The sequence below is a fragment of the Homo sapiens genome, chromosome 11 (genome assembly GCF_000001405.40).
Source record: "Homo sapiens chromosome 11, GRCh38.p14 Primary Assembly".
Taxonomy (NCBI): domain Eukaryota; kingdom Metazoa; phylum Chordata; class Mammalia; order Primates; family Hominidae; genus Homo; species Homo sapiens.
In genome coordinates this window covers 5,114,299-5,128,775 of record NC_000011.10, presented here as the reverse complement: position 1 = coordinate 5,128,775, position 14,477 = coordinate 5,114,299, and the positions used below count along the sequence as shown (strand labels likewise).

At 35.9% G+C, this 14,477-nt stretch overlaps 1 pseudogene; it reads left to right on the top strand.

Annotated features, from left to right (window-relative positions):
• On the top strand, positions 7,198 to 8,112 carry OR52A4P (olfactory receptor family 52 subfamily A member 4 pseudogene; annotated as a pseudogene).

The window sequence follows — 14,477 nt, the reverse complement described above, 5'->3', positions numbered from 1 at the left end:
ATGGATTTTTCTGTCTGGATGCTTTATATAAATAAAGCATTACATATGTGAACTCTTGTATTTACTTTTTTTTTCAATTCTTTTCAGTTAATTCTTATATTAATGTAATATTTTAAATGTTCATCCATGTACCATATATCAGTAATGCATTTCTTTTTAAGGCTGAGTAATATTCCATTAAATGGGTATGCCACATTTTATTCATTTATTCATCAGTTGAAAGACATTTACAATGCTTCCACTTTTTGGCTATCATTAGCTTTCATTAAAAAACATCACTAAAAGACCCATTTGATGTTATTTGTCATACATTTAAAACCAGTCTCATCAACATTTTTGTGTATTTTTCTTCAGTAAAATTCATTTGCAGGGAAGAAGGAATAGACAAGTGTACATTTAAATTCAAAGATGAGATGAGATATGATGAGACCAGATGAGATAAAATAGTTGAATAGCAAGCAAAGAATGAAAGCAAGATCGTAGATGAACTATGGAAGAAATGGAGCACAGCAGAAATAAGATGAGATCAACAGATTTAATGTATCTCATTCTGTCAAATTGTTGTTGTCAGAATGAGGAAAGTGAACTGGTAAAAATACAAAGAAAAACATTAGAAATAATACTCTCCAGGTATAGGATATTGATTATCTCTGGAAGGAGGGTGGGAAATATTGTGGAAGTGCAGAAGAAGTGTGATTCAACTGTATTGAACCTTCCCTCAAGAAACTGTGATGGATTACATGGATTTTTTAGTTATGCTTTATTTATTTTTTATATATTTTTTATTGTATAATATATTTGGCAAAAAAAGATAAGTGAATATATTCCTGATGTAGTACTTGGCAAACAACTTAGTTTAACAGAAGTTAAACAGTATTTTTATATTCATAGTAAAAATATCTCCTAATGTGTTTTAGTTTCTTTAGCAAATTATTAAGATTATTCCATGCTTTAAGAACTATGATTAGAATTTAGGATAAAGGAATGTTCCTGAAGGCAGTGACCATAAAGGTGCAGCCCTGTTTCTTACATTCATTCTCTGTGTAAATATGATGTTTGTCGAATTTTTAAAACTTAATTATTGCCTTGTTTTTTCAGTTACAAAGAGATCTATGTTAGATTTTCCTACACTGTAGATTTTTCTTTTTTCCTTGGGGATCGATCAATGTTCTCTTTTTTTTTTTTCTTTTTTAAACTTTATTTTTGGTTCAGGTGGAACATGTGTAGGTTTTTTAACTGGGAAATTGCATATCGCTGGGATTTGATGTACAAATGATTTCATCAAACAGATAGTGAATGTAATACCCAATAAATAGTTTTTCAACCCTCACCCTTTTCCCACCCTCTGACCTCAAGTAAATGCTGGTGTCTGTTGTTCCCTTCTTTGTGGCCATGTGTACTCAAAGTTTATCTTCCACTTACAAGTGAGAACATGTGTTATTTTGTTTTCTGTTCCTGCATTAATTCACTTAGGATTATGGCCTCCAGCTGCATTCATGTTGCTGCAAAGGATATGGTCCCTTTCTTTTTATGGCTGTATAGTATTCCATGGTGTACATGCACTACATTTTCTTTATGGAGTCCACCATTGATGAGCATCTAGGTTGATTCCATGTTTTCACTATTGCGAATAGCATTGTGATGAACACAGAAGTGTATGTGTTTTTTCGGTAGAATAATTTACATTCCTTTAGGTGTATATCCGGTGAGGAGCTTGCTGGGTCGAATGGTAGTTCTGTTGCAAGTTCTTTGAGAAATCTCCAAACTGTGTTCTACATTGGCTAGATTAATTTACATTCTCACTGGCAGTGTGTAACCATCCTTTTTTCTCTACAACCTCACCAGCATGTTACTTTTTGACCTTTTAAAAATAACTATTCAGACTGATGTGAGGTAGTATCTCATTGTGGCTTTGATTAGTATTTCTCTAATGATTAGTGATGAGCATTTTTAATATGCTTGATGGCCCCATGAATATCTTCTTTTGAGAAATATCTGTTCATGTTCTTTGCCTACTTTTTAATGGGGTTGGTAGACCTTTCTTGGATGCATATTTTGCAAATATTTTCTTCTATTCTGTAGCTTGTCTACTTACTCTGTTAATAGTTTTTCTTGCTGTGCAGAAACTTTTTAGTATAGTTATGTCTATTTTTGTTTTTGCTGCAATTGCTTTTGGATCCTTCATCATAAAATCTTTGCCAAGGCCTAGGTCCAGAATAGTATTTCCTAGATTTTCTTCTTGAGTTTTTATAGTTTGAGGTCTTACATTTAAGACTTTAATTAATCTTGAATTGATATTTAAAGGATGTCCTATTCAGTAAATGGTGCTGGGATAACTGGCTAGCCATATGCAATCTTCTGCATCTGTTACAGAAGATTGTATTGGCTAGCCAGTTATCCCAGCACCATTTACTGAATAGGACATCCTTTACCAATTACTCATATTGTCAACTTTGTTAAAGATAAGATGGTTGTAGGCATGCAGCTTAATTTCTGAATTCTCTAACCTGTTCCATTGGTTTATGTGTCTAATTGTGTACCAGTACCATGCTGTTTTAGTTTCTGTAGACTTGGAGTATAGTTTGAAGTCATCTGGTGTGACTCCATGACTTTGTTCTTTTGCTTGCTATTTGTTTGGCTATTCAGTCTCTTTTTGGGTTCCATATAAATTTTAGATTTTTTTTTCTAATTATGTGAAAAATGGCATTGGTAATTTGATAGGAATAACATTGAATCTGTAAATTGCTTTGGGAAATATGGCCATTTCACAACACTGATTCTATCCATGAACATGAAATGTTTTATTATTTGTTTGTGTCATCTCTGATGTCTTTGAGCAGTGTTTTTTAATTCTCATTGTAGAGACCTTTCACCTCCCTTGTTAGCTGTATTATTAGGTATTTTATTCTGTTTGTGGCTATTGTGAATGGAATTGCATTCTTTATTTGGCCCTCATCTTGGATGTTGTTGATGTGTAGAAATTTTACTCATTTTTGTACACTAATTTTGTATTCTGAAATTTTATTTCAGTTGTTTAGCAGTTCTAACAGCCTCTGAGCAGAGACTATGGGGTTTTCTAGGTATAGAATCATATTGCGGGTGAAGAGAGATAGTTTGACTTCCCCTCTTCTTATTTGGATCCCTTTTGTTTCTTGTTTCTTTTTATTGTCGATTGTTCTGGCTGGGACTTCCAGTACTTTGTTGAATAGGAGTGGTGAGAGTGGGCATCCTTGTCTTGTTCCAGTTCTCAAGGGGAATGCTTCCATTTTTTGCCCGTTTAGTGTGACATTGGGTGTAGGTTTGTAATAGGCAGCTTTTATTATTTTGAGGTATGTGCCTTTAATGCCTAGTTTGTTGAGGACTTTTAACATGAAGGGATGTTGAATTTTACGAAAAGCTTTTCTGTACCTATTGAGATAATCATGTGGTTTTGTTTATAGGTCTGTCTATGTGATGAATTACATTTATTGTTATATGTATGTTGAACCAATCTTGCATCCCAGGAATAAAACCTACTTGATCTTGGTGGATTAGCTTTTTGATGTGCTGCTGGATTTTGCTTGTAGTATTTTGTTGAGGATTTTTGACTCTATGTTCATCAGAGATATTGGCCTAAAGATTTCTTTTTTCCTTGTGTCTCTCCCAGGTTTTGGTATCAGAACAAATCTGGCCTCACAGAATGAGTTAGGGATTAGTCCCTCCTCCTCAACTTTTTGGAATCATTTTAGTAGGATGAGTACTAGCTCTTTTTTTATACTTCTTTGTAGAATTTGGCTGTTTATCTGGTCCAGGGCTTTTACTGGTCGGTAGGTTTTTTTATTAGTGATTCAATTTTGGAACTTGTTATTGGTCTGCTTAAAATTTCAATTTCTTCCTGGCTCAATATTGAGAGGTTGTATGTTTCCAGGAATTAGTCCATTTCGTTTAGGTTCTCTAGTTTGTGTTGTTCTGCATTAATTAATTTTAAATAAGGAAAAACTAAAAGCCAAAACATATATGCATTTTAAATTAAACTCTGTATTAAAGATATTTAAGAGTAGGGAACTTCTTGGGATCAAGAGATTGTTAAAAAAAAAAGCTTGTGATTTACTTTTCTAGGAAGGACTGCTCTAATTTTCTGTCTCTTAAAATAGGACAAAAATCATCTGTGCATAATTGATTTTCCTCCCTTTCTCTTAGCAAGTCTTACTTCTTACAGGCATTACTGTACTCTCAACCCTGTTCTGCCTACCACTTCCAAACACACTTCTTTCTTGGATCACTGAAATGCCTTCTGGAAATCCTTTGATGGTCAAGAGTAAATACAAGGTACAATATTTGTTTTGTTTTCGATTCCCTTTCCTTACCAAGCATACAGTAACGCTGTCCAATTTGTTCAGAGATGAAATGGAGTCTCAATTGATGCATTGCCTTATTTTAGTGTCCTTTTTCTTTGTCAAATAAGTGAGAACGAGATAAACCCTATCTCTGGGGCTCTGAGAGACAGGGATGTGTTTTACTAACAGAAGATGCTTCAACACTGCCATCTCCTGGCCATACTAGATATGCCAGGCCCCCAGGGAATTGAGCAAGCCGCTAACCCTTAGAAATGGCTGGCTTTAAACTTCCATCTTTGCCCTAGGGAAAAAATATCTCTCAGGATTTGAGAAAGGCTAATAAAACTTTGGTAATCAGGGAAAATTATGTTACAAACCACAAATATTACATAGCTGGGACCAGCAGAGAGCAACCTTCCTCTGTGCCAGTCACTTGTCACTGTTGCTCCTGGATATTGAGTAAGTTATAGTTAGGAATGTGTACAGCTCAAGTGGAGGTGAAACAGTACATCCTGAAGTACAAGTACAAGTGCAGCTAATGAATGTAGACTCCAGAAAAAATCCAAATCATAAACATGAAGAGTATATTTTTGTTAGGGTCTCACTTTGAAATTCTATGAACTACAATTAAAGAACAATAATGATAAGTTGAAGAATCTACTTTGGAAGATTGAGATGTTAAGGGCAGTTAGGAGCCTGCTATTGGAGAAGTAATTTAGACCTGCAGATGTTTTACTTGAAAGAGAGAAGGATCATGAGTGTGTAGGGAAGTTGAAACTATCCCTCTGAAGGTTGAAGTCTACGTCTGTTAAAATGAATCGACAAAAGACAAATTAACAGGAAAAAGACATAGAATTTTATTAACATGCATAAGCATGGAGAACTCCAAGGAGAATGATTACCTGATAACTCAATTAAGCACAGATGCTTATATATCCTTCTTTATAGGGGAGGGGAGAGATTGAATGGGACCTGAGAAGAGACAATAGTTTGAGATGAAGTTCATCTGGGCTCCAGGTGTGGTGTTTAATTTTCAGTGTCTTCCTCTGTAATATGAGTTTTAATCTTCTCTGGTTAATGGAATTTCAGGGAAGGGATTGAAGGCAATTGTGTTCCTCTTTAGGGGTCTAGCGTCTAGGTAGATAAGGGAACTTCAGAGAATAACCTCATCCCATGCTTTGGGAAAGACAAAGAAGTGAAAGACAGGAAGGGCTGGGGGATGTCAGAGAAACCTTGCGGTTGCTTCTTTAGTTCAGAATGTTAAAGTGCTATATTTAGGGATATTGGTTTTCTGGGCTCTAACAATGTAATGATCTCCAAAACATTCCAGAGTTTAAATCTGTGGTTATCATGGTGACTAGGGGCCAGGGAAGAACACAGAATAATATTTGGATGTGATGACTTGAGTTATGGAGAAATATTAGAAATGCTTAGCACACCACTTATAAAATTTATGGATCACCTTGATTTAGACCTAGACAACTAATCACTTGCATAACCTCTCTGCTCTCACTTAAAAAAAAATCATTGATGCATAATATCATGTTACCAGCCCTGCAACTGAACCATAGTTATTTGCCAGTGTATCGTTACTGGAAATTGTTAAGTGTCCCAGCCACAGCCATTATATTGCAATCAGAATTTTGTTTTGGATGTTTCTCTATTTCTGCTGCTTCCCAAGGCACTTCCACCTCAACATGTTTGTCAATTATTTCCCATTGAATTTCTTGGAGAATTTTCAAATAGTCTCATCCCATCATATTTTTCGTATGTCAACTTTTCCAGAAGATAAAAAAAAAAAATAGAGCTTTCGACTTTCCTTCAGCAGTAAGTAGCCTGATTTCTTTTTTTTTTATTATTATTATACTTTAAGTTTTAGGGTACATGTACACAACGTGCAGGTTAGTTACATATGTATACATGTGCCATGTTGGTGAGCTGCACCCATTAACTTGTCATTTAACATTAGGTATATCTCCTAATGGTATCCCTCCCCCCGGCCCCCACCCCACAACAGGCCCAATGAGAACACATGGACACAGGAAGGGGAACATCACACACCAGGGCCTGATTTCTATGTAAGGGTTATATCTGTTCACACTGCCTCCATATGGAGATTCAGGCTTCCAAACTCGTTAACTAAACCTCACCTCTAACTAATTCAACATCTTCTTCATGGTTCCCCTGACGATACAACCTGAGGTTCCTCTTCTCCTAAACCAGGTACTCTAAAATTTCCTTAATTTTAAATTTATATATAAATAGTTTAAATATGTCTTTACCCTCCAATGTGTGGAAAAAGTCCTGGTGTGAGAGGTTTAGGGTGCTTATATGAACTACAGAGTTTTTGTATACGGTTGTCTCCTGTATCAGAATTGCTATGGTAATACACCAAAATTATGTGACTGTCATTGTCTACTGAATGGAGTCTGAGTCTTGCAGCAGTGTCATATTTGAACACTTGGGGCTAAAGCTAGAATAAATGTTTTTATTTCTCTGTCTAAAATATAATTCCAAATATAAATATTTGTATTCCTGCTTTCCATGAACAGGTTAGAAGAGGAAAGAGAAAATGGAGTTGGGGAACAAGGAAAGCACCACTAAGCAGGTTGATCATATTGGCCTCTTCTCAGAAATGATGTCCAAAAGTCTTCACTGAGTGTGGCCGGATGATTTTGCTAAAGTGTAAACTGGTGAACCTTTCTATGGGTCTTTATATTGGCATTTTTTCATTCATTAAAAAAAAGATAAGTAAGTTGATGGAGTTGGTTCTCCTAATTCTGCTATTCAATAACTTTGTGATTGGATAAGCATAAAATATATAAAAGTACAGAGAATCACAGCTTGGCAAACTTTCTCCCCTTTCTAAGAAGACCCCTGAATGGCCCTGCCTATTACAAATGGTACCTTGTTCATGCCTTTTGTGCTGACATTTATTGGGATCCCCGGTTTTGAATCTGTACAATGCTGGATTGGGATTCCATTCTGTGCTACGTATGTCATTGCTCTGATTGGAAATTCTCTACTTTTGATCATCATCAAATCTGAGCCAAGCCTCCATGAACCCATGTATATCTTCCTGGCCACGTTAGGAGCCACAGACATTTCACTTAGCACCAGCATTGTGCCCAAGATGCTTGATATTTTTTGGTTCCATTTGCCAGAGATATATTTTGATGCTTGCCTCTTTCAGATGTGGCTCATCCACACATTTCAAGGCATTGAATCAGGAGTCCTGCTAGCCATGGCTCTGGACCGCTGTGTAGCGATCTGTTATCCTCTGAGGCGTGCTATAGTATTCACTCGACAGCTAGTCACTTATATTGTAGTTGGAGTGACATTGCGGCCTGCCATTCTGGTAATTCCATGCCTATTGCTTATAAAATGCCATCTGAAACTCTACCGAACCAAGTTAATATACCACACTTACTGTGAACGCGTGGCCCTTGTGAAGCTTGCCACTGAAGATGTTTACATTAATAAGGTCTATGGTATCCTTGGAGCATTTATTGTTGGTGGGCTTGACTTCATTTTCATCACCCTCTCCTATATTCAGATATTTATCACTGTCTTTCACTTGCCTCTGAAAGAGGCACGACTTAAGGTATTTAATACATGTATTCCCCATATATATGTCTTCTTCCAATTCTATCTCCTTGCTTTTTTTTTCATTTTTTACTCGCAGATTTGGATCTTATATCCCATCATATGTACATATCACCTTGTCCAGTCTTTACCTACTGGTCCCACCATTCCTCAACCCCTTTATCTATGGGTTAAAGACCAAACACATTAGAGATAAGGTAGTAAAAACATTCTGTTCCAAAGATGAGGCTTGAAATTTGATTGAAATAGTTTCTTCATAAAGATAATAGCTCACCTATTACTAGACCTATGAGATCCAGTCAATGGTTTGGGGTATCATTATGATTGATGAATAAATTAATGTGTCTGTATACACACACCTACAAACATATATACACATATATATTCATATCTCTGCAAGCATTTTTCTAGGTATATTAATAGAAATGAAAATTGCAGTATAAAGTTTGTTCTGTTAATTTTTGATAAGTATTGTCATTTCATTTTAGACAATTTCAGTAGCTCATACTTCCATAAGCAAAATTCAAGTACTTGTTTCCCCATGTTATATTATTAAAATTTAACCAAAAAATAAAAAAAGTCCATAGTTTTATTACTTAAAGTCACATGGTTTTATTTTGAGATTATTTTTAATTCACACTGGATTTTGTTTTTGTGCAAAATGTGAATTACACAGCTTAACGGAGCAAACTTAATAGAGGAAACTCTATTTTGCTAAATAGAGTTTGTATTAAGCAATTTATTATCTTTCTATGTTATTCTGTGTTTTTTTTTACTTAATATATTACCACAACTTTGTGTATTTTTTCCTGTCCTTATTTTCTGACTGTCCTTATACCACCATGCTTTACTAGTTTAACTATTAAAGTCATAGAATACTTTGATGTTGTAAAGAACAAGTATTTTTTGACATTTTTGATTGCAGATATTAATTCTGTAGCCAAACCTAATTGTTTGTTTACCGATAGATTATTTTCCTGGAATTTTCCCTGAAGAAAAATTAGGTAATAAAATAAGAATTAGTACTCCCTGAGATGTTTCTTTAGCCCTTGTAATATTTATAAACAAATGTATGGGATACTGAAGTACTAATTTTAAACCTTATTAGACAACTTTAGTGAAATTGCCTGCAACAAGCTTCTGTTAAGAAAAGCCTATCCTCCTTTCTCAACTTTTCTTTAATGATGCCCCTACACCATCATGATGTGACTTTGTTTTACTCAGTTCACAGTTATCCAGCAACAAAACACACAAAAATCAACTGGAACAAAAGATGTAAATTTAGGCTGCCATTATTATTTACCTATCAGAATTTGCTAATTTATTTCCCCAAGTCTTTCATTTATTTTCTTAAAACAGAAATTAACACCTTTTCTTTCCACTTGCCTTCCACCTGCCTTCCACAAACACCCACCATTTGACCCACCCACCCACAATAGTGTAGCTGGATGCTGCCAAAAGAGATAAGTGAAAGCACATTATAACCTGCAAACTGTGATTCAGAGATTGTGCCTATCTAAATCCATTATTCAATCAAACCAGCTTCCATTTGCATGCTTGGGGTCTAGAATAATAAAACAAATAATTATTTCATACCAAACTAAGTAGTGTTATATGATATGTCAATATTTAAATCCTCCATCTAATTGGCTTCTAATTTCTCCGTATCTCTTATCTCCCCTTTTCTTTAATTTTTAACTTCTTTCAGATTATTATTTTTAAGCTTTTCACTGAAGTATATCATACAATTAGAAAAGTGCACCAATCCTAAGACTATATTTTTCTCTCCCCTCCCCTCCCCTCCCTTCCCCTCCCCTCCCCTCTCCTCCCCTCTCCTCCCCTCCCCTCCCCTCTCCTCCTCTCTCTTCTCTTCTCTTCTCTTCTCTTCTCTTCTCTTCTCTTCTCTTCTCTTCTTTTCCTTGAGCTCAAGTCTCACTCTATTGCCCAGGGTGGAGTACAGTGGCTCAGTCATGCATGGCTCACAGCAACCTGAACTGCCTGAGCTAAAGGAATTCTCCCACCTCAGCCTCTGGTGTAGCTGGAACTACAGGTGCATACCCCTAGGCCCACCACCTAATTTTTTTATTATTATTTGTATAGAAGAGCTCTCTTTATGTTGCTCAGGCTTGTATAGACCTTCTAGGCCCAAGCCATCCTCCCGTCTCCACCTTGCAAAGTGCTGGGATTACAGACGTGTGCCACTGACATGAATTTTAGTATAATGGGCAGACTGAGCCAAAAAAGCATCCAGATCAAGAAACATAACACGACCAGCAAAGCAGAAATTCTCCTTCACTTGTTTCCTTGTTCCTACCCACGTTAGATAACCACTATCCTGATTTCTATTACCAAGATAACTTTGCTTCTTTAGAAATGTACATAAATGAAATATTGCAGCAAATTTGTTTGCTTCAAGTTTAGGTTTTTAAGATTTATCTATATTGTTGCATATAAAAATGAGCTATTCTCATTGTGTTATAATATTCAACTTTATGAATACACTACAATTTCTTTACACGTTGTTTGCTTTTTCGTGGGGGGGCTAGATAATACATAATATTTTGCTATCAAAAGTAGTGTTGTTGTGGGCATTACTTTACATAGTATTGGTAATATATGGCTGTATTTGAAGGAGTATATGTATAGAATTAGAATTGCCAGATAATATGATATTCCTAAGATTGATATTAATACATCTTGATAAATATTTTTTGAAAACTGATTTTGCAAAAAAGTAATTGTACCAATTTGTAAGATTACAGCGGATTTTTTGCATTTTTTATTGACAAATCATATTTATAGATATTTATGTAGTAGATGAGATATTTTGATACATGCGTACAACATATAATGATCAAATAAGGGTATTTGGGGTATCCACAGCCTAAAACATTTATCATTTCTTTGTGTTGGGAAGATTTCAAATCTTCTCTTCTAGCTGTTTTTTAAGTATGCAATATATTGTTGTTAACTATTGTCACCCTACTGTGATATTGAACATCAGAATTTAAGGTGTCAAGATAAAGAAAAGTTGGGTAATGAGAACAACATACAACTAAGTCCTAGGTCAGCAATTTTTAAGTGTTCTAGTTGCTTCATATCCTTGCTAGCATTTTGAATCATCAATCTTTCATTTTCTTGCTTGTGTACAGTAGCATCATGTTGTGAATTTAATTCAATCATTTTTATTCATGTCAAAGGGGTCATATGCATCATTTCTCACATTCCTTTGTCCTAAACCCAACCACATGATCACAACCAGGGACAGGAGTGAAAGAAAAATGCAGTGTCTAGATGAGTGGCTATGAGATGAGCTTAAACTATACGCTGGTGGAGGTGGAGAGGAATCTGTTACTGAGACAGAGACAGAATCCATACAGGGGGATTGTTAAAGTCTCTTGCACAGTGCAGTGCTTTTGATACAAAATATAAAAAGAGCAAGACATACTATACATTATAAAGAAACGTTGGTATTTTTGAAAATGTACCACACATCAAAATAACAAGAGTGTAAAATATGACTTTAATACATTTTATCAGAACCGTATGTACAAAATGCCAAGGAGCTTAAAAGAGAAAGGTGACATTCAATGCTGAGTTCAAGGTTTTTGGGGAAAGACATGGTTAATGATGAAGTATTTGAGACGTTCTTTGGAAGATAGATGGGTTGTGTGTGTGTGTGTGTGTGTGTGTGTGTGTGTGTGTGTGTTTAAATGAAGGTATTTCTCTAAAGGACATTTCTAAAATAACTCAAGAGAAGGTGTCCAAGAATAAGAAAGGCATACATGCTGTTCAATTAAAAGCAATAAAGTTTAGAGCTCAGGATGAGTAAGACAGCATATATTGATGTAGAAACAAAGAGGTTAGAATGTAGAATGTTTGGTTAAGAGGAAGAATTACAGTGGAAAGCAAATCAGCTTTGAAGTCAAGCATACCTAGGTTTGATTGTCAGCACTTCCATGGACTAGTCTGATACTGTGAAAGTTACTAATTTCCACGAATCTCAATTTCTGCATTGGACATTTGAAGCAATTAAATCAAATGAGGCATTTAGCAGAGGCTGATAATAATTGTTATGCTTTTGTCAATCCTTTTTTGCTGTCTCTTTTCTATCCTTAAAATTCTGGGGTCCACAGGAAATTACTTATTTTGTGTGAATTTATTTTGTTAATTTATTCATTTGATGTACCAAAGTAGATATTCTAAGTGCAAGAGTATGGCGAGATCTGTAAATAACGCTGGCATGATTTATACCCTACCATCCAAGACAATGTTTCATGAGCAAGGTGAATTTATTATTTATATTGTTCTCATTCATTAATAGTAACATTTTCTACTGACAATTTTCGATAAATGATAAATAACTACAATGCTGTGGGATCTGTAATAAGTTCTGATGAAGATATACAGATGATTGGATATAGCATCTAGACTCAATAACCTTTTACTAAATATCAAAAGATCACTCAGATGAATAAGGTCTGGAGTGGACTCCCAGAAAACTGCAGCAGCCCTGTGGAAGAGGGGCCTGACTATTAAAAGGAAAACAAACAAACGGAAAGCAACAACAACAGCAGCAGCATCAACAAATACATCCCCACAAAAACCCCATCCAAAGGTCAGCAGCCTCAACAATTGAAGCTAGATGAACTCAGTAAGGTGAGACAGAATCAGTGAAGAAATGCTGAAAACTCAAAAACCAGAGTGGCTTTTCTCTAAATGATTGCAACACCTCTCCTGCAATGGCACAGAGCTGGGTGGAGGGTGAGATGGCTGAATTGACAGAAGTAGGCTTCAAAAGGCAGGTAATAACAAACTTTGCTGAGCTAAAGCAGCATGTTCTAACCCAATGCAAAGAAGCTTAGAACCATGATAAAACATTACAGGAGTGATTAACCAGAATAACCAGTTTAGAGAGGAACATAAATGACTTAATGGAGTTGAAAAGCACAACACAAGAACTTCACAATACAATTACAAGTATCAATAACAATAGACCAAGCAGAGGAAAGAATTTCAGAGCTTGAAGACTATCTTGCTGAAATAAGACAGACAGACAAGATTAGAAAAAACAGAATGAAAAGGAACAAACCAACCCTCTGAGAACTATGGGATTATGTAAAAAGACCAAAACTACAACTGATTGGGGTACATGAAAGAGACAGGGAAAAAACCAAGTTGAAAAACATACTTCAGGATATCATCCAGGAGAACTTTCCCAACGTAACAAAACAGACCAGCATTCAAATTCAGGAAATACAGAGAACCCTAGTAAGATACTCCATGAGAAGATCGAACCTAAAACACATAATCAGCAGATTCTCCAGCGTCAAAATGAAGGAAAAAATGTTAAGGGCAGTTAGAAAGGCCATGTGACATATAAAGGGAAGCCCATCAGACTAACAGTGGACCTCTCAGCAGAAACTCTACAAGCCAAAAGATATTGGGGGCCAATATTCAACATTCTTAAATAAAAGAATTTTCAACCCAGAATTTCATATCCAGACAAACTGAGCTTCGTAAGCGAAGGAGAAATAAAATCCTTTTCAGACAAGCAAAGGCCGAGAGAATTCATCACCACCAGGCCTGCCTTGCAAGAGACTTTGAAGGAAGCACTAAATATGGAAAAGAAAAACTGCTGTCCAGGCACGGAGGCTCACGCCTGTAATCCCAGCACTTTGACAGGCTGAGGTAGGTGGATCACCTGAGGTCAGGAGTTCAAGACCAGTCTGACTAGCATGGAGAAACCCCATCTCTACTAAAAATACAAAAAATAAGCCGAGCGTGGTGGCACATTCCTGTAATCCCAGCTACTTGGGAGGCTGAGGTAGGAGAATCACTTGAACCCAGGAGGCGGAGGTTGCAGTGAGCCGAGATCATGCACTCCAGCTTGGGGAGCAAGAGCAAAACTCTGTCTCAAAAAACAATCCCCAAACCAAACCAAAACAACAACAACAACAACGACAAAAACTATTACCAGCCATTACAAAAACACACTGAAGTACACAGACCAATGACACTATGAAGCAACTACATCAACAAGTCTGCAAAATAACTAGCTAGCATCATGATGACAGGATCAAACCCACACATTACAATATTAACCTTAAATGTAAGTGGTCTAAATGCCCCATTTAAAAGACACAGAATGGAAAGCTGAATGAAGAGTCAAGACCCATTGGTGTGCTGTATTCGAGACACCCATCGCACATGCAAAGACACACATGGGCTTAAAATAAAGGGATAGAGGAAAAATTGTCAAGTAAATAAAAAAAAAGCATGGGTTGCAATCCTAGTTTCTGACAAAACAGATTTTAAACCAACAAAGATCAAAAAAGACAAAGAAGGGCATTAAATAATAGTAAAAGGTTCAATTTTACAAGAAGAGCTAACTATCCTAAACATAATGGCAAAGGGATCAATTCAACAAGAAGAACTAACTATCCTAAATATATATGTACCCAATACAGGAGCACCCAGATTCATAAAACAAGTTCTTAGAGACCTACAAAGAGACTTAGACTCCCACACAATAATACTGGGAGACTTTAACAG